General features: G+C 47.1%; 1 protein-coding gene across 9 annotated transcripts in view, besides 4 other annotated features; it reads left to right on the forward strand.

Annotated features, from left to right (window-relative positions):
* Window positions 1,316–1,816: an enhancer, noted in NCBI's record as "H3K27ac hESC enhancer chr9:71731558-71732058 (GRCh37/hg19 assembly coordinates)". NCBI's record gives its function as "activates a minimal SCP1, AML or CMV promoter by ChIP-STARR-seq in primed H9 embryonic stem cells {active_cell/tissue: H9 hESC(primed)}" and the evidence as "EXISTENCE:reporter gene assay evidence [ECO:0000049][PMID:30033119]".
* Window positions 1,817–2,317: an enhancer, noted in NCBI's record as "H3K27ac hESC enhancer chr9:71732059-71732559 (GRCh37/hg19 assembly coordinates)". NCBI's record gives its function as "activates a minimal SCP1, AML or CMV promoter by ChIP-STARR-seq in primed H9 embryonic stem cells {active_cell/tissue: H9 hESC(primed)}" and the evidence as "EXISTENCE:reporter gene assay evidence [ECO:0000049][PMID:30033119]".
* Window positions 5,216–6,174: an enhancer, noted in NCBI's record as "NANOG-H3K27ac-H3K4me1 hESC enhancer chr9:71735458-71736416 (GRCh37/hg19 assembly coordinates)". NCBI's record gives its function as "activates a minimal SCP1, AML or CMV promoter by ChIP-STARR-seq in primed H9 embryonic stem cells {active_cell/tissue: H9 hESC(primed)}" and the evidence as "EXISTENCE:reporter gene assay evidence [ECO:0000049][PMID:30033119]".
* The window catches only part of TJP2 (tight junction protein 2), a 133,945-nt gene continuing 126,793 nt past the window's right edge, over window positions 5,938–13,089 (forward strand). For 3 of the 9 annotated variants that reach the window (XM_047424091.1, XM_011519207.3, NM_001369871.1), the window contains exon 1: window positions 7,689–7,787. The gene's annotated coding sequence lies outside the window, so the exon portion shown is untranslated. Of the gene's footprint in view, window positions 6,040–6,157; window positions 6,400–7,053; window positions 7,526–7,688; window positions 7,788–13,089 lie in introns of those variants that run through there. The other 6 variants (XM_011519208.3, NM_001170414.2, XM_047424090.1 and 3 more) reach the window with 4 other exon arrangements.
* Window positions 6,364–6,533: a silencer, noted in NCBI's record as "silent region_19932". NCBI's record gives its function as "represses an Ori minimal core promoter by ATAC-STARR-seq in GM12878 lymphoblastoid cells {active_cell/tissue: GM12878}" and the evidence as "EXISTENCE:reporter gene assay evidence [ECO:0000049][PMID:35858748]".

Raw genomic sequence — 13,089 nt, forward strand, 5'->3', positions numbered from 1 at the left:
ATTTTTGTATTTTTAGTGGAGACGGGGTTTCACCATGTTGGCCAGGGTGGTCTCGATCTCCTGACCTTGTGATCTGCCCGCCTCGGCCTCCCAAAGTGGTGGGATTACAGGCATGAGCCACCGCACCCAGCCAACCAAGTGGTAAGGTTTTTAAGGGTTGTCCCTGCATGAAGTGGTCAGAGCCCCCCTGGAACTTGCTGCTGCAGTAGTGGCTGGAATAAGATAGGTAAGGCCAAGAAGATCTGAAATGGTACATAAGAAATGTTAGATCCAGAAAAGGCAGGCAAAATGTGCAATTCTTTTCCTTTATTTACCATTTGCCAGCTTTCAAAATAATGAACTAGTTCTATTGTATTTCCAAAGTTGAGCAATTAAGATTTTTTTAAAAATATCATTATGACTCATGGATATACAAATATTTGATATGTCTCAATTTATTGCTGTGATTTTTCTTATTGATGCTCAAATTTATTCCACTTTGGCCAGCAGGAGTTTCTACAAATTGGTTCCAGATGACATTTCAAATAAATTTGTTTCTGAGCGCTTCCTTGCTTTCTGAATTGGCAAGATATTCCAGGCTTATTTGGCATTCATCTTACTCTAGACCTATTATCAACCATGTCTCCAAGGATAAGTAGATCCTTTTAAGGGAAAATGGTATTTTGAAAGCATAGTGTGGGATCTGAGGATACCTATTCCTGTCAGGTTGGTTATTGTTTGTTTTCAGTGAGTAGATCTTGGACTTTATTAATTTTATTTATTTATTTTAAGAAAAGTACATCATGAGTTATAAGTAATAATTCCAACTCAAATTTTAATATTGCTTAACTTCTTTGATTTTATATTTATCTTTTACACTGAAAAGTCTTGGCTGGGCATGGTGGCTCAAGCCTGTAATCCCAGCACTTTGGGAGGCCGAGGCGGGCGGATCACGGGGTCAGGAGATCAAGACCACCTGGCCAACTGGTGAAACCTCGTCTCCACTAAAAATATAAAAATTAGCCAGGCGTGGTGGCGGGCACTTGTAGTCCCAGCTACTTGGGAGGCTGAGGCAGGAGAATGGGGTGAACCCAGGAGGCGGAGCTTGCAGTGAACCAAGATCATGCCACTGTACTCCAGCCTGGGCGACCGAGCGAGACTCCGTCTCAAAAACAGAAAAAAAAAAAAAGAAAAAAGAAAAATATTGATATCTAAGGATATTAACATAATTACTGCTAACATTATGATTATTCAAAAAGGTTATAGTTTTTTTTCTTAAAGTTCTCTTTGTCCTTAGTTATATCCCCAAAGGCTATAGAGTCAAATAATTGTGGATTTTCTTGTTCAGTCATCCAGGCTGAAGTGGAGTTCAGTGGTGCGATCTCGGCTTACTGCAACCTCCACCTCCTGGGCTCAAGCAATTCTCGTGCCTCAGCCTCCACACTTGGCTAATTTTTGTATTTTTACTTTATTTATTTAGAGATGGAGTCTGGCTCTGTCGCCCGGGCTGGAGTGCAATGGCATGATCTCGGCTCACTGCAACCTCCGCCTCCCGGTTCAAGTGATTCTCCTGCCTCAGCCTCCTGAGTAGCTGGGATTATAGGCAGGCACCACCACACCCGGCTAATGTATCTTTAGTAGAGACGGGGTTTCACCATGTTGGTCAGGCTGGTCTCGAACTCCTGACCTCATGATCTTCCTGCCTTGGCCTCCCAAAGTGCTGCGATTACAAGCTTCAGCCACTGCGCCTGGCCTTATTTTTTGTATTTTTAGTAGAGATGGCCTGTTGACCAGGCTGGTCTCAAACTCCTGGCGTCAAGTGACCTGCCCAACTCAGCCTCCCGAAGTGCTGGGATCAAGAGCATGAGCCCTTTGTCCAGCCCAAATAATTAATTGCGTCTGTGTGTGGTTTTTTGTTTTCTTTTGAGACAGAGTCTGCCTCTATTGCCCAGGCTGGAGTGCAGCGGCCTGATCTGGGCTCACTGCAACCTCTGCCTCCCTGGTTCAAGTGATTGTCCTGCCTCAGCCTCCTGAGTAGCTGGGATTACAGGCATGTGCCACCACACTTGGCTAATTTTTATATTTTTTTTAGTAGAGATGGGGCTTCTCCATGTTGACCAGGCCGGTCTCCAACTCCTGATGTCAGGTGATCCGGCCAGCTCGGCCTCCCAAAGTGCTGGGATTACAGGGTGAGCCATTGCTCCTGGCAATAATTGTGTTTTAAAATCACTTTATATAATTTCTCTTCACACTGTTAAGCTACCAACTTGATACCAGCATTCATGTGTTGCATTTTGCTTTTTTTAAATTTAATTTTGTTTCATAAGAATGTAAAAAACATTTATATCATTCCAAAGTCAAATCCACAAAACACAGTATATTCTTTTTTTTTTTTTTTTTTTTTTTTGAGACGGAGTCTTGCTCTGTCACCCAGGCTGGAGTGCAGTGGCGCGACCTTGGCTCACTGCAACGTCTGCCTCCCGGGTTCAAGCAATTCTCTGCCTCAGCCTCCTGAGTAGCTGGGATTACAGGTGCCCACCACCATGCCTGGGTAATTTTTTTTTGTATTTTTAGTATTTGTAATGATTTTGTATTTTTAGTAGAGACAGGGTTTCACCATCTTGGCCAGGTTGGTCTTGAACTCCTGACCTCATGATCCACCCGCCTCAGCCTCCCAAAGTGCTGGGATTACAGGCATGAGTCACCGCACCTGGCCAAAACATGGTATATTCTGAGAAGTCTAGCTTCGATCCTTGTCCTTCCATCCTGGTCCCTCCCTCCCTTATAGGTTTCCATTTTATTTAATAATTTATCCTTCCAAAAAAAAAAGCAAATGTACTTACGTGTGTTTCTGCTTTCCTAGGTAAACAGTAGCATCCTACATACGCTTTTATTACTTTGTTAATACCCTAGTTTCTGACAAATTATTGTTCATCTTTCTTAAAATTGCAGTGTTCTTCAGGCTTGATCTTCCCTCTTGTTGAAATAAGTTGTTGATGGGTATCATCAGAAGTCTAACCTAAATGAAAATGAGTTTTTGTTTTTGTTTTGAGACACTGTCTTGCTCTGTCACCAGGCTGGAGTGCAGCGGCACAATCTCAGCTCACTGCAACCTCTGCCTCCCAGGTTCAAGCAATTCTCCTGACTCAGCCTCCCAAGTAGCTGGGATTACAGGCATGCACCATCACGCTTGGCTAATTTTGTACTTTTAGTAGAGACGGGGTTTCACCATATTGGCCAAGCTGGTCTCGAACTCCTGACCTCGTGATCTGTCCGCCTTGGCCTCCCAAAACGCTGGGATTACAGGCGTGAGCCACTATGTCAGGCCTGAACCTGAGTTTTATAAAAAGTACTGTTATCCATTCTATTACTTCTGGCAAAAGTTTGCGTGGGGAAGAGTTTGGCAGTCCTAAGCAAAGTTGTCTGGCGTGAGTGATGGCATCGATACCCAGGATTTTGTGTGTGTGGTAAAATGTACATGGCATAAAATGTACCGTTTTAACTTTTTTATTTTTTGTTTGAGACGGAGTCTCACTGTGTTGCCCAGGCTGGAGTGCACAGTGCAATGGCAAGATCTCGGCTCACTGCAACCTCCGCCTCCCAGGTTCAAGCAATTCTCCCGCCTCAGCCTTCTGAGTAGCTGGTATTACAGGCATGCGCCACCAGGCCTAGGTAATTTTTGTATTTAGTGGAGACGGGGTTTCACCACGTTGACCAGGGTGGTCTTGAACTCCTCACCTCAAGTGATCCACCCGCCTTGGCCTCCCAAAGTGCTGGGAGTACAGTTTGAGCCACCCAGCCCAGCCCTTTTTAACCTTTTGTTTTTTTTTTTTGTTTTTTTTTTTTGAGACGTCGTCTCGCTCTGTCGCCCAGGCTGGAGTGCAGTGGCACCATCTCGGCTTACTGCAAGCTCCCTTTCCCGGGTTCACGCCATTCTCCTGCCTCAGCCTCCCGAGTAGCTGGGACTACAGGCGCCTGCCACCACGCCCAGCTAAATTTTTTTGTATTTTTAGTAGAGACGGGGTTTCACCATGGTAGCCAGGATGGTCTCGATCTCCTAACTTCGTGATCCGCCCGCCTCGGCCTCCCAAAGTACTGGGATTACAGGTGTTAGCCACCAAGCCCGGCCCGTTTTAACCATTTTTAAGTGTACAGTGTAAGGCACTGAAACCGCCTTTGCAAAAGTATAACTGAGGAAATTATGACAGTGAAAGAAATCAGACCTAACTGACTCTATCTTGCTTCTAACCCTTAAGCTGTCCTTGTTCGTTCCTGGGTGTAGGCGGAACTAACTTTGGGAAGGAATTCCGTTCATGATTTGACTCTGAAACAAAGTTGCTAACAGCCCTTTCCTGAAAAAGACTCCCTTCTTGCCTGGGGTCCAGTCTGCCTTTGCAGGACTAACAAATTAGCTACAAGATTAGAAATTACAGTTTAGGGGTCTTGCTGCTTCCGGATCCAAGAGTCTGAACCTCTCCAAATTTGCTCCTGTGGATAACATCACTATTGTAAAACCTAAGAGCAGTGCTTGAGATATTTTGCAGACCCTGCACTCGATGGATCAGCTGACACCACCTGGACCAGTAACCTGGCCCAACCAGTTCTGCCATCGCAGATAGGAACAGAAGACATATGAAAACCTAACTTCGACCCCCGCCTGATTCCATCTCCAACCTGACCAATCAGCACTCCCCACTTCTCAAGCCCCTACCCGCCAAATTATCTTTAAAAACTCAGGGCGGGTTGCGGTGGCTCATGCCTGTAATCCCAGCACTTTGGGATGCGAGGCGGGTGGATCACCTGAGGTCAGGAGTTTGAGACCAGCCTGGCCAACGTGGTGAAATCCTTCTCCACTAAAACTACTAAAATTAGCTGGGCGTGGTGGCGGGCGCCCCTAATCCCAGCTACTCAGGAGGCTGAGGCGGGACAATCGCTTGAACTCAGGCGAAGGTTGCAGTGGGCCGAGATCGCCCGTGCCACTGCACTGCAGTCTGGGCGACAAGAGCGAAACTCGGTCTCAAACAAAACAAAACAAAAAAACCCGAAAACCAACCAAACAAAATCTGATCCCCGAATGCTCGAAGAAACTGATTTGAGTAATAATAAAACTCCGGTCTCCCGCACAGCTGGCTCTGCGTGAATTACTCTTTCGCCATTGGAATTCCCCTGTCTTGACAAATCGGCTGTCTACGCAGCCGGCAAGGTGGACCCACTGGGCGGTTACAGCATTATTAGGTATATTAACACTGTTGTGCAAACACCCCCACTCTCGGTCTCCAGAACTTTTTGTCATCCCACATTGAAACTCTACCGATTAAGCACTAAGTTCCCATTCCCTTCCCAGGGTTTTTAACAAGGCCACGTTAAACAGAAGGGGCACCTGCTTGCCAGGTGGAGGCCTGGGCACTGGCAGGGTTCTGCCCTCCCGACTGAGCAGGGGCTCCCGAGGTGACTAAGCAGGCTCTCTGGGTAGTGCTCCCGCCCTCACCTATTGTCCGGGTGGAGGAACCGGTATTTCCGGATGGGGGCCTCAGACCCAGTGATCCCGGCTAAGGGTGAGGCTGGCGGGGGAGGGGAACGGAAGCGGGTCGTAAAAGTTAACTTTACACTAAAATCATTAACTTTTCTCACACCCCCCAATAAAAGCAGTCACCTCCCCCCCCCAAGAGCCCCCCACGCACCCACAGTGGCCCACAACCATGCTTCCCGGGGGCTTTGAAGGGTAGAGGAGCTGACATCCTCCTTGCCCAGACCCTGGAAAGGATTAGGAAGCGGACCTGGGCACGAATAGAGAAAGAAGCCCAGCAAATTCCTCTTGCACCAGCTCTGGGAGGAAGCTCAGCTGCAGTTCTACGTAGAAGAAAAGAGGCGGCAAAGTAGGCGCGCGGGCTCCAGTGACAAAGGTCTCCCAGGCAGCCGCGGCCCCTGCCCCACCGCTGAGTGGCGTGCGTGCAGGCCCACCCTCTCCGCCTTTCCCGACACCCCAAAGTAGCGCTGCGAGCAGCTGCGTCTCCCTCCCGGGGCTCGCGCGCCCAGAACCCTCCGGTCTCAAGGAAGCAGGTGACAGCCGCCGCCCACCCCCTTCCCCTCCCCGCCGCTGCTCTCTGGCTCGCCACCGCCCAACTCCCCCTGCCCCCACCCTGGATTTTTTTTCCCCTTCTCTCAAACCTCTAAACAGGAAATAGCCCGAATCACAATAATATACGGGAGCAGCCGCGGAGGCCGCTGGCGCCCTCCCATTCCCGGGGAGCTTCCCGCACTCCGGCTTGGGTGAAGTGCAGCCAGCGACGCGCGCAGGGAGCGCAGGGGGACACCAGCCCAGCAGCTAGCGCCGCGCCGCCCAGCGCCCCGGAGAGCCGCCTTCGCCCTCGCCCAGCGCCCGACACCGCCGGCCGCGGCGGCGGCCGCCACCGGCTCTAGGCAAGTACCCTCCTCTCTCTCCCTCCCCGGCCCAGGTGCTGCCTGCCGCACGCCCCGGGAGAGCCGCCGAGGCGCGGCAGCCTGTGCCCAGGCGTCGCCGGGATGCCTTCCCTCCTGTCCCGACTTTGGCCAGGGAATGATTTGGTGGGCGCGAATTCGCGCTGGTGCCCTGGGTCGTTTGTGCAGGCGGGGTGAGGGGCAGCGCGAGTAAACGGGTTGACATCCCCTAGGTTTCTCTGCAGAGTGCGCTGTGTACTTCATCGGGCATTTACTTTTTCACTGCTTCCTCATCGCCCCCGGGGCGGCAGCGCCTCACAGGGTCTCTCTGGGGGAATCATCAACAGGTGTGCCTGAACACGCACCTGCGGCAGCCACAGGTGTCTGGGAGCCACCTTTTTTCTTCTCCCTGGCCTGGCACCCTTTCACTCAAGGGATGGAAACTGTTTCACTTTCTGCTGAGCTTCTCTTTTACCCGATTAAAAGGGCCTTTGAATTTCTGTTGGCGCAGCCAACTGCATCGGGTGGGGGCAGGAGCCGGTGCCTTGGAGTGACGCGGGCGGAGCGCGGCGCTGGTTATTGGAAGCTGGTGGGGCTGCTTGAGTGCCCGCTGAGCCTCCGCCGCGGGGCTTGAAAACTCCGCACTCCAGAAAGCTTGACCGTACAGCCCTGGGGGTGCTCGCCCTGCCCGCGTGGTCCGCAAAACGGGGATCTCCTCCGCCTAACGCGGCAGAGACTTAGAAAACATTTAAACAACAAAAAAATTTTCACTTTCTGACCCATTTGTAAGGGAGGGGCCGAGCTTGTCAGCATATACAGGGCGTTGTAAGTTTCCCAGGGCTGCATTGCAAGGTTCTTCTATAGGGAGCTCTCAGTCAAAACCGAGTTGGAGATCTTTATGTTGGAAAAAGGCCACTGAATTCCAGGCATTCTTCGAGCTTGAGAAGGGCATTTTCAAGACTATTTTGAAGTTTGCACGAGGGCTTTCTGCGCAACTGAGTATCTCAACTATCCTTATTGTCTGTGGCTACTTCCCAGTCCCAGAGGTGGGCGAGTTCCGTAGGGAGGCCTCCGCAGGCAGGTCTTCTGTCCAGGTTTCTGAACGCATTTCCACAAACGTGGTCGGTAGGTAAGTTAAGCCCTTAACCAATCCACTTGAGAGATACTACCTATCCTCTTCGTTTCCTGGTGAGGAACCTGTTATTCTAGTTGCTGATAGGGTGACATTCTGGGTACTTTCAAGTGTTCACGTGTCTTGCCACTTTAAGGTCACGGGTGCATTACCTGTCGACCTTTTGAAATGCAGGATCTCAGGCCCCACCCAGATCTGCTGAATCAGGATCACCCAAGGGATCCGTTTGCACATTAACGTCTGAGAAGTACTGGCCTAGGTATGTTGGAGTGAAGTTTTCTGTCCAGTGTCAAGGAGTGCTTTACATTTCCATCCGGTTATGTATTTGAATCTTTGTTTTGCCCACCAGGACACTCTACAGCCGCATGGGTTAGAGCACCTGCACCCCAGGGTGACAGGATATGTGATTAACATACTGGCCGGTGATGTTTTTGATTCTGTGGTAAAATATACATAAAGTAAAATGTAGTATTTTAGCCGTTTAAAAATGGACCCTTAATTCAATATTGTGCCACCATCACCACTACCCATTTCCAGAACTTTTTCATCATCCCAAACAGAAAGCCATTAGAATACCTTATTTTCTCCTTTCCCCAGCCTCTGGGCTTCTGGATACTTTTAATTATTATTATATTTTTTGGAGGGAACAGAAGATGTTGACTAAGAATGTACAGTAAATGTCTCAAAAAATAAGAGAATGTATAGTAAATGTGTAGTAGAATCACGCTGGCAGAATATGAACAAACATTTGGGAATTCCTGGGTAGACAAAAGCACTATAGCTCAAGGTTCTTAGAGTGCACGTACTTTCTTTAATAGAGACAACTATAAACCTTCAAGCGTTTCCTATTTTGACTGAAATGGAATGGAGTTACCCAGTGCTCAACCTGCTCTAATTAACTAGGCATAGATGCTTGATGATCTGTAACTCTGTGATTCTTTTAACTGGCCTCATTTTAGGTGTCCTGTTGATACTGGGTTTAGTTTGTTTTTGTTTTTTAATTATTTTATTTTATTTTATTTATTTATTTTGAGACGGAGTCTCGCTCTGTCGCCCAGGCTGGAGTGCAGTGGCGCCATCTCGGCTCACTGCAAGCTCCACCTCCCAGGTTCACGCCATTCTCCTGCCTCAGCCTCCCGAGTAGCTGGGACTATAGGCACCCGCCACCACGCCCGGCTAATTTTTTTGAATTTTTTTTCTTTTTTTTAGTAGAGACGGGGTTTCACCGTGTTAGCCAGGATGGTCTTGATCTCCTGACCTCGTGATCCGCCCACCTCGGCCTTCCAAAGTGCTGGGATTACAGGCCTGAGCCACGGCGCCCAGCCTTATTTTATTTTTTGAGACAGAGTCTTGCTGTGTTTCCAGGCTGGAGTGCAGTGGTGTAATCTTGGTTCACTGCAGCTTCAACCTCTCAGGCTCAAGTGATCCTCCCACCTCAGCCTCCCAAGTAGCTGGGACTACAGGTGCAAACTACCATGCCTGGCTAATTTTGTTTATTTTTGTAGAGGCTAGTTTAAATTATTATTATTATTTTTTTCTGTAGATTGGGTTCTTGCTTTGCTGCCCAGGCTAGTCTTGAACTCCTGGCTTTAAGCCATCCTCCCGCCTTGGCCTCCCAAAGTGTTGGGATTACAGGTGTGAGCCCCCGCTATTTTTTCTTGACCCTTGCCTCTTCTTGTGTTACGACTTTCATCACAATGAGGTTATCAACTTGTAGTAAGAATTTACAGCTTCCTTTGATTGAAAAGTCCCTTTGAAATGGTGAATGAAGATAATTCAAACGGCAAGATTTGGCAGAACATTCTCTCTTAAGAAGACTCCTGCATTCACAGACTTTCAGAATGTTATTACTTCCTTTTAATTCTAGTAAGGCAAGAGAGAAAAGGTTTACCCTCCTATAGTATGTTCTCTTCTGAACAATATAGTTCAGAGTTTTATTTGGTAAATGGATGCATTTTGCAATCTACATGAGAAAACATTTCTTAGAAAATGTCCAGTGAATGGTTTTATCAGTGATTTCAGTGATGTTTGGGGAATCACCTGGTAGCTTAATAAAAATGGAAACTCTCCAAATATTCCAGATTTATTAAGTCAAACTCTTTTTTTGTTGTTGTTGAGATGGAGTTTCGCTCTTGTCACCCAGGCTGGAGTGCAACGGCGCGATCTTGGCTTACTGCAACCTCTGCTTCCCAGGTTCAAGCGATTTTCGTGCCTCAGCCTCCCAAGTAGCTGGGTTTACAGGCATGTGCCACCACGCTTAGCTAATTTTTGTATTTTTAGTAGAGATGGGGTTTCTCCATGTTGGTCAGGCTGGTCTCAAACTCCTGACCTCAGGTGATCCACCCACCTCGACCTCCAAAAGTGCTAGGATTACAGGTGTGAGCCACTGCGCCCGGCCAAGTCAAAGTCTTTATACTACAATCTGTGCGTTTAATAGCACCCTGAGTGATTTTTTTTTTTTTTTTTTTTTGAGATAGAGTCTAACTCTGTTATCCGGGTTGGAGTGCACTGGTGCCATCTCAGCTCACTGCAACCTCTGCCTCCTGGGTTCAAGCAATTCTCGTGCCTGAGCCTCCCAAGCAGCTGGGACTACAGGCATGCACCACAATGCCCAGCTAATTTTTAGTAGAGACGGGATTTGTCCATGTTGGCCAGGCTGGTCTTGAACTCCTGGCCTCAAGTGATCTGCCCACCTCGGCTTCCACCTTCCAAAGTGCTGAGATTACGGGCATGAGCCATTGCACCTGGCTCACCTTGATTCTGATATGTAATTAGGTTTGGGGGTCACTAGAATAAACACATGCACACACACACACTCGAATGTGAGTGCAAACCAAGATATAAAATTAATCTGAAGTTACAAGATAACACAATTTTATATACAACATGAAATAAAATTAACAATAGTTTCTTCCTTATAATTAGGTAGACAGTTCAAGTTTGGCAAATCTAATTGGCACCTTTTGATATTGATCATCACTGAACTTTAGAATCCCCAGTGTCCAGAACTACTGGTCTCCATAGGAGATATCAAGGTACTGGACTAGTATTTGATTTAGCATTAATGAACACTAGTTGTGTACCCATTGTGAAACAGGGATTTTCAGATATACTGTCGTTAAATCTTTACAACAACCTTGAGCATGGTATTTCTTTTTTTCTCATTTTACGGAAGAGAAAATTGAGGCCACTTTGGGTCTTCTTGCTTGAAACCATGGTTCTTTTCCTGGTCCTCCCATTGTAGAATAAGAAATTCCTACCTACTCACTCCCCTTCACCTCCAGCAGTTATATTGAGATGTAATTCATGACAAGCTATGTACAGTATTCATAAATTCTTCATGCAAATCTTTTGGAACATCAGGTACTGTGCTAGGCCCTGAGGCAAATAAAAAGATGAGCCAAAATGGAAATAAATTTCAAAAGAGCAAAGGACTCAAGAGCCAAGGGTTCTTTTCATGGTACCCTGAGACCTCTGATGAGTTAGATTATACTTGAATGGGGTCTTAGGTTGGCTGGGCCAGCTCCCCAGAAAATCAAGTCGTGGGCATTTGCTTATTGAGATGGGTCAGAAGTACTCTGCATGACAGTACCTACCTGGCACCCTGAAATGCCACACAGTGTAAAAGAAAGGACCCAGGCTTTAGGTGTGGAAGAACTGACCTCTGCTACAACCAGCTGAATGAACCACAGTAAATCTCATAAGCTCGAAGCTGCCACATGCTGGTATATAAAATAAAGGAAATAATTATCTTGCTCCTGAATTATAGTGAAGACTCAAAAAGACCTTATTTGTACAAGGGCTTGTAAAATGTAAAATGATAACAAAGGCTACGCACCTCCATTTGGGAGAAATTTATAATGCAAAGGAAACAGAAAAAGCCATAAATTTACCTAGCACTTTTCAGTGTACTTTTTAGTTAACTGAGGCTGTTGATAATTCTCTTTTAGCTTTGGCCATTTTTGTTTTAAACAGTTACATTGAGATATAATTCACATACTATACAATTCACTTATTTAGTCTACAATTCAATGTCTTTTAGGATATTTGTGGAGTTGTTAACCATCACCACTGTCAATATTAAGATATTTTCAAGGCTAGATGTGGTAGCTCATGCCTGTAATCCCAGCAGTTTGGAAGGCTGAGGTGGAAGGATTGCTTGAGCCTGGGAGTTCAAGTCCAGCCTGGGCAACATAGGGAGACCCCTGTCTCTCTCTCTCTTTTTTTTTTTTTGAGGCAAAGTCTCACTCTATCGCCCAGGCTGGAGTGCAGTGGTGCGATCTCGGCTCACTGCAAGCTCTGCCTCCCGGGTTCACGCCATTCTCCTGCCTCAGCCTCCTGAGTAGCTGGGACTACAGGTGCCCGCCACCACGCCCGGCTAATTTTTTGTATTTTTAGTAGAAACGGGGTTTCACCATGTTAGCCAGGATGGTCTCGATCTCCTGACCTCGTGATCCGCCTGCCTCAGCCTCCCAAAGTGTTGGAATTACAGGCGTCAGCCACCGCGCCCGGCCGCAAGGGAGACCCCTGTCTCTACAAAAACTTTAAAAATTAGCTGGGCATGGTAGTTTATGCCTATAGTCCCAGCTACTCAGGAGGCTGAGTTGGGGGATCACTTGAGCCCAAGAGATCGGGGCTTCGCCAAGCTATGATCATGCCACTGGGCTCTAGCCTGTGCGACACAGTAAGATCTTGTCTCAAAAAAAAAAAAAAGATGTTTTTAATGCCCCCTCAGAGAACATTTTCCCCAGTAAACCCCCTCTACCCCTTAGCTGGCTCCTGTCAATATTCCCCCTCTACCCCTGACCAGGGTACCAGGAATCTACTTTCTGTCCCTATAGATTAGCCTATTCTGAACATTTTATATAAATGGAATCATAGACTATGTGGCCCTTCATTGTCTGGCTTCTTTGACTTAGCATGTTTGCAAGGTTTATCTATGGGAGCCGTGGTTTACTCCAGTAATCCCACTCCTTTGGGGGACCGAGGTGGGAGGATCACCTGAGTCCTGGGCAACATGGTGACTAAAGGCTTATGTACATTGTAGTATGTATCTGTTCCTTTTTTTTTTTTGAGTCAGGATCTTGCTCTGTTGCCCAGGCTGGAGTGCAGTGGCACAATCATGGTTCACTGCTGCAGCCTTGAACTTCTGGTCTCAAGCAGTCCTCCTGTCTCGGCCTCCCAAAGTGCTAAGATTATAGGTGTGAGCCATCATGACAGGCCAGTACTTTATTCTTTCTATTGCTGAATAATCATCCATTGCATGGACATGTCATAGTTTGCTTATCCATTCATCCATTATGGGCATCTGGATTGTTTCTGCTTTCTGGCTATTATGAATAATGTTGTTATGAACACTCATGTACAAGTTTTTATGTGGACATACATTTTCATTTGCTAGAGTACATACCTAGAAGTGGAAAATATATGGTAACTCCATATTTAATATTTTCAGGATTTGCCATACTGTTTTTTAGAGTGGCCATATTCTTCTACAGTCCCATCAGCCAGGTATTTGGAGTTCCAATTTCATGTCTGCATCCACATACATTATTACTGTT

This window comes from Homo sapiens, chromosome 9 (genome assembly GCF_000001405.40).
Source record: "Homo sapiens chromosome 9, GRCh38.p14 Primary Assembly".
NCBI lineage: Eukaryota > Metazoa > Chordata > Mammalia > Primates > Hominidae > Homo > Homo sapiens.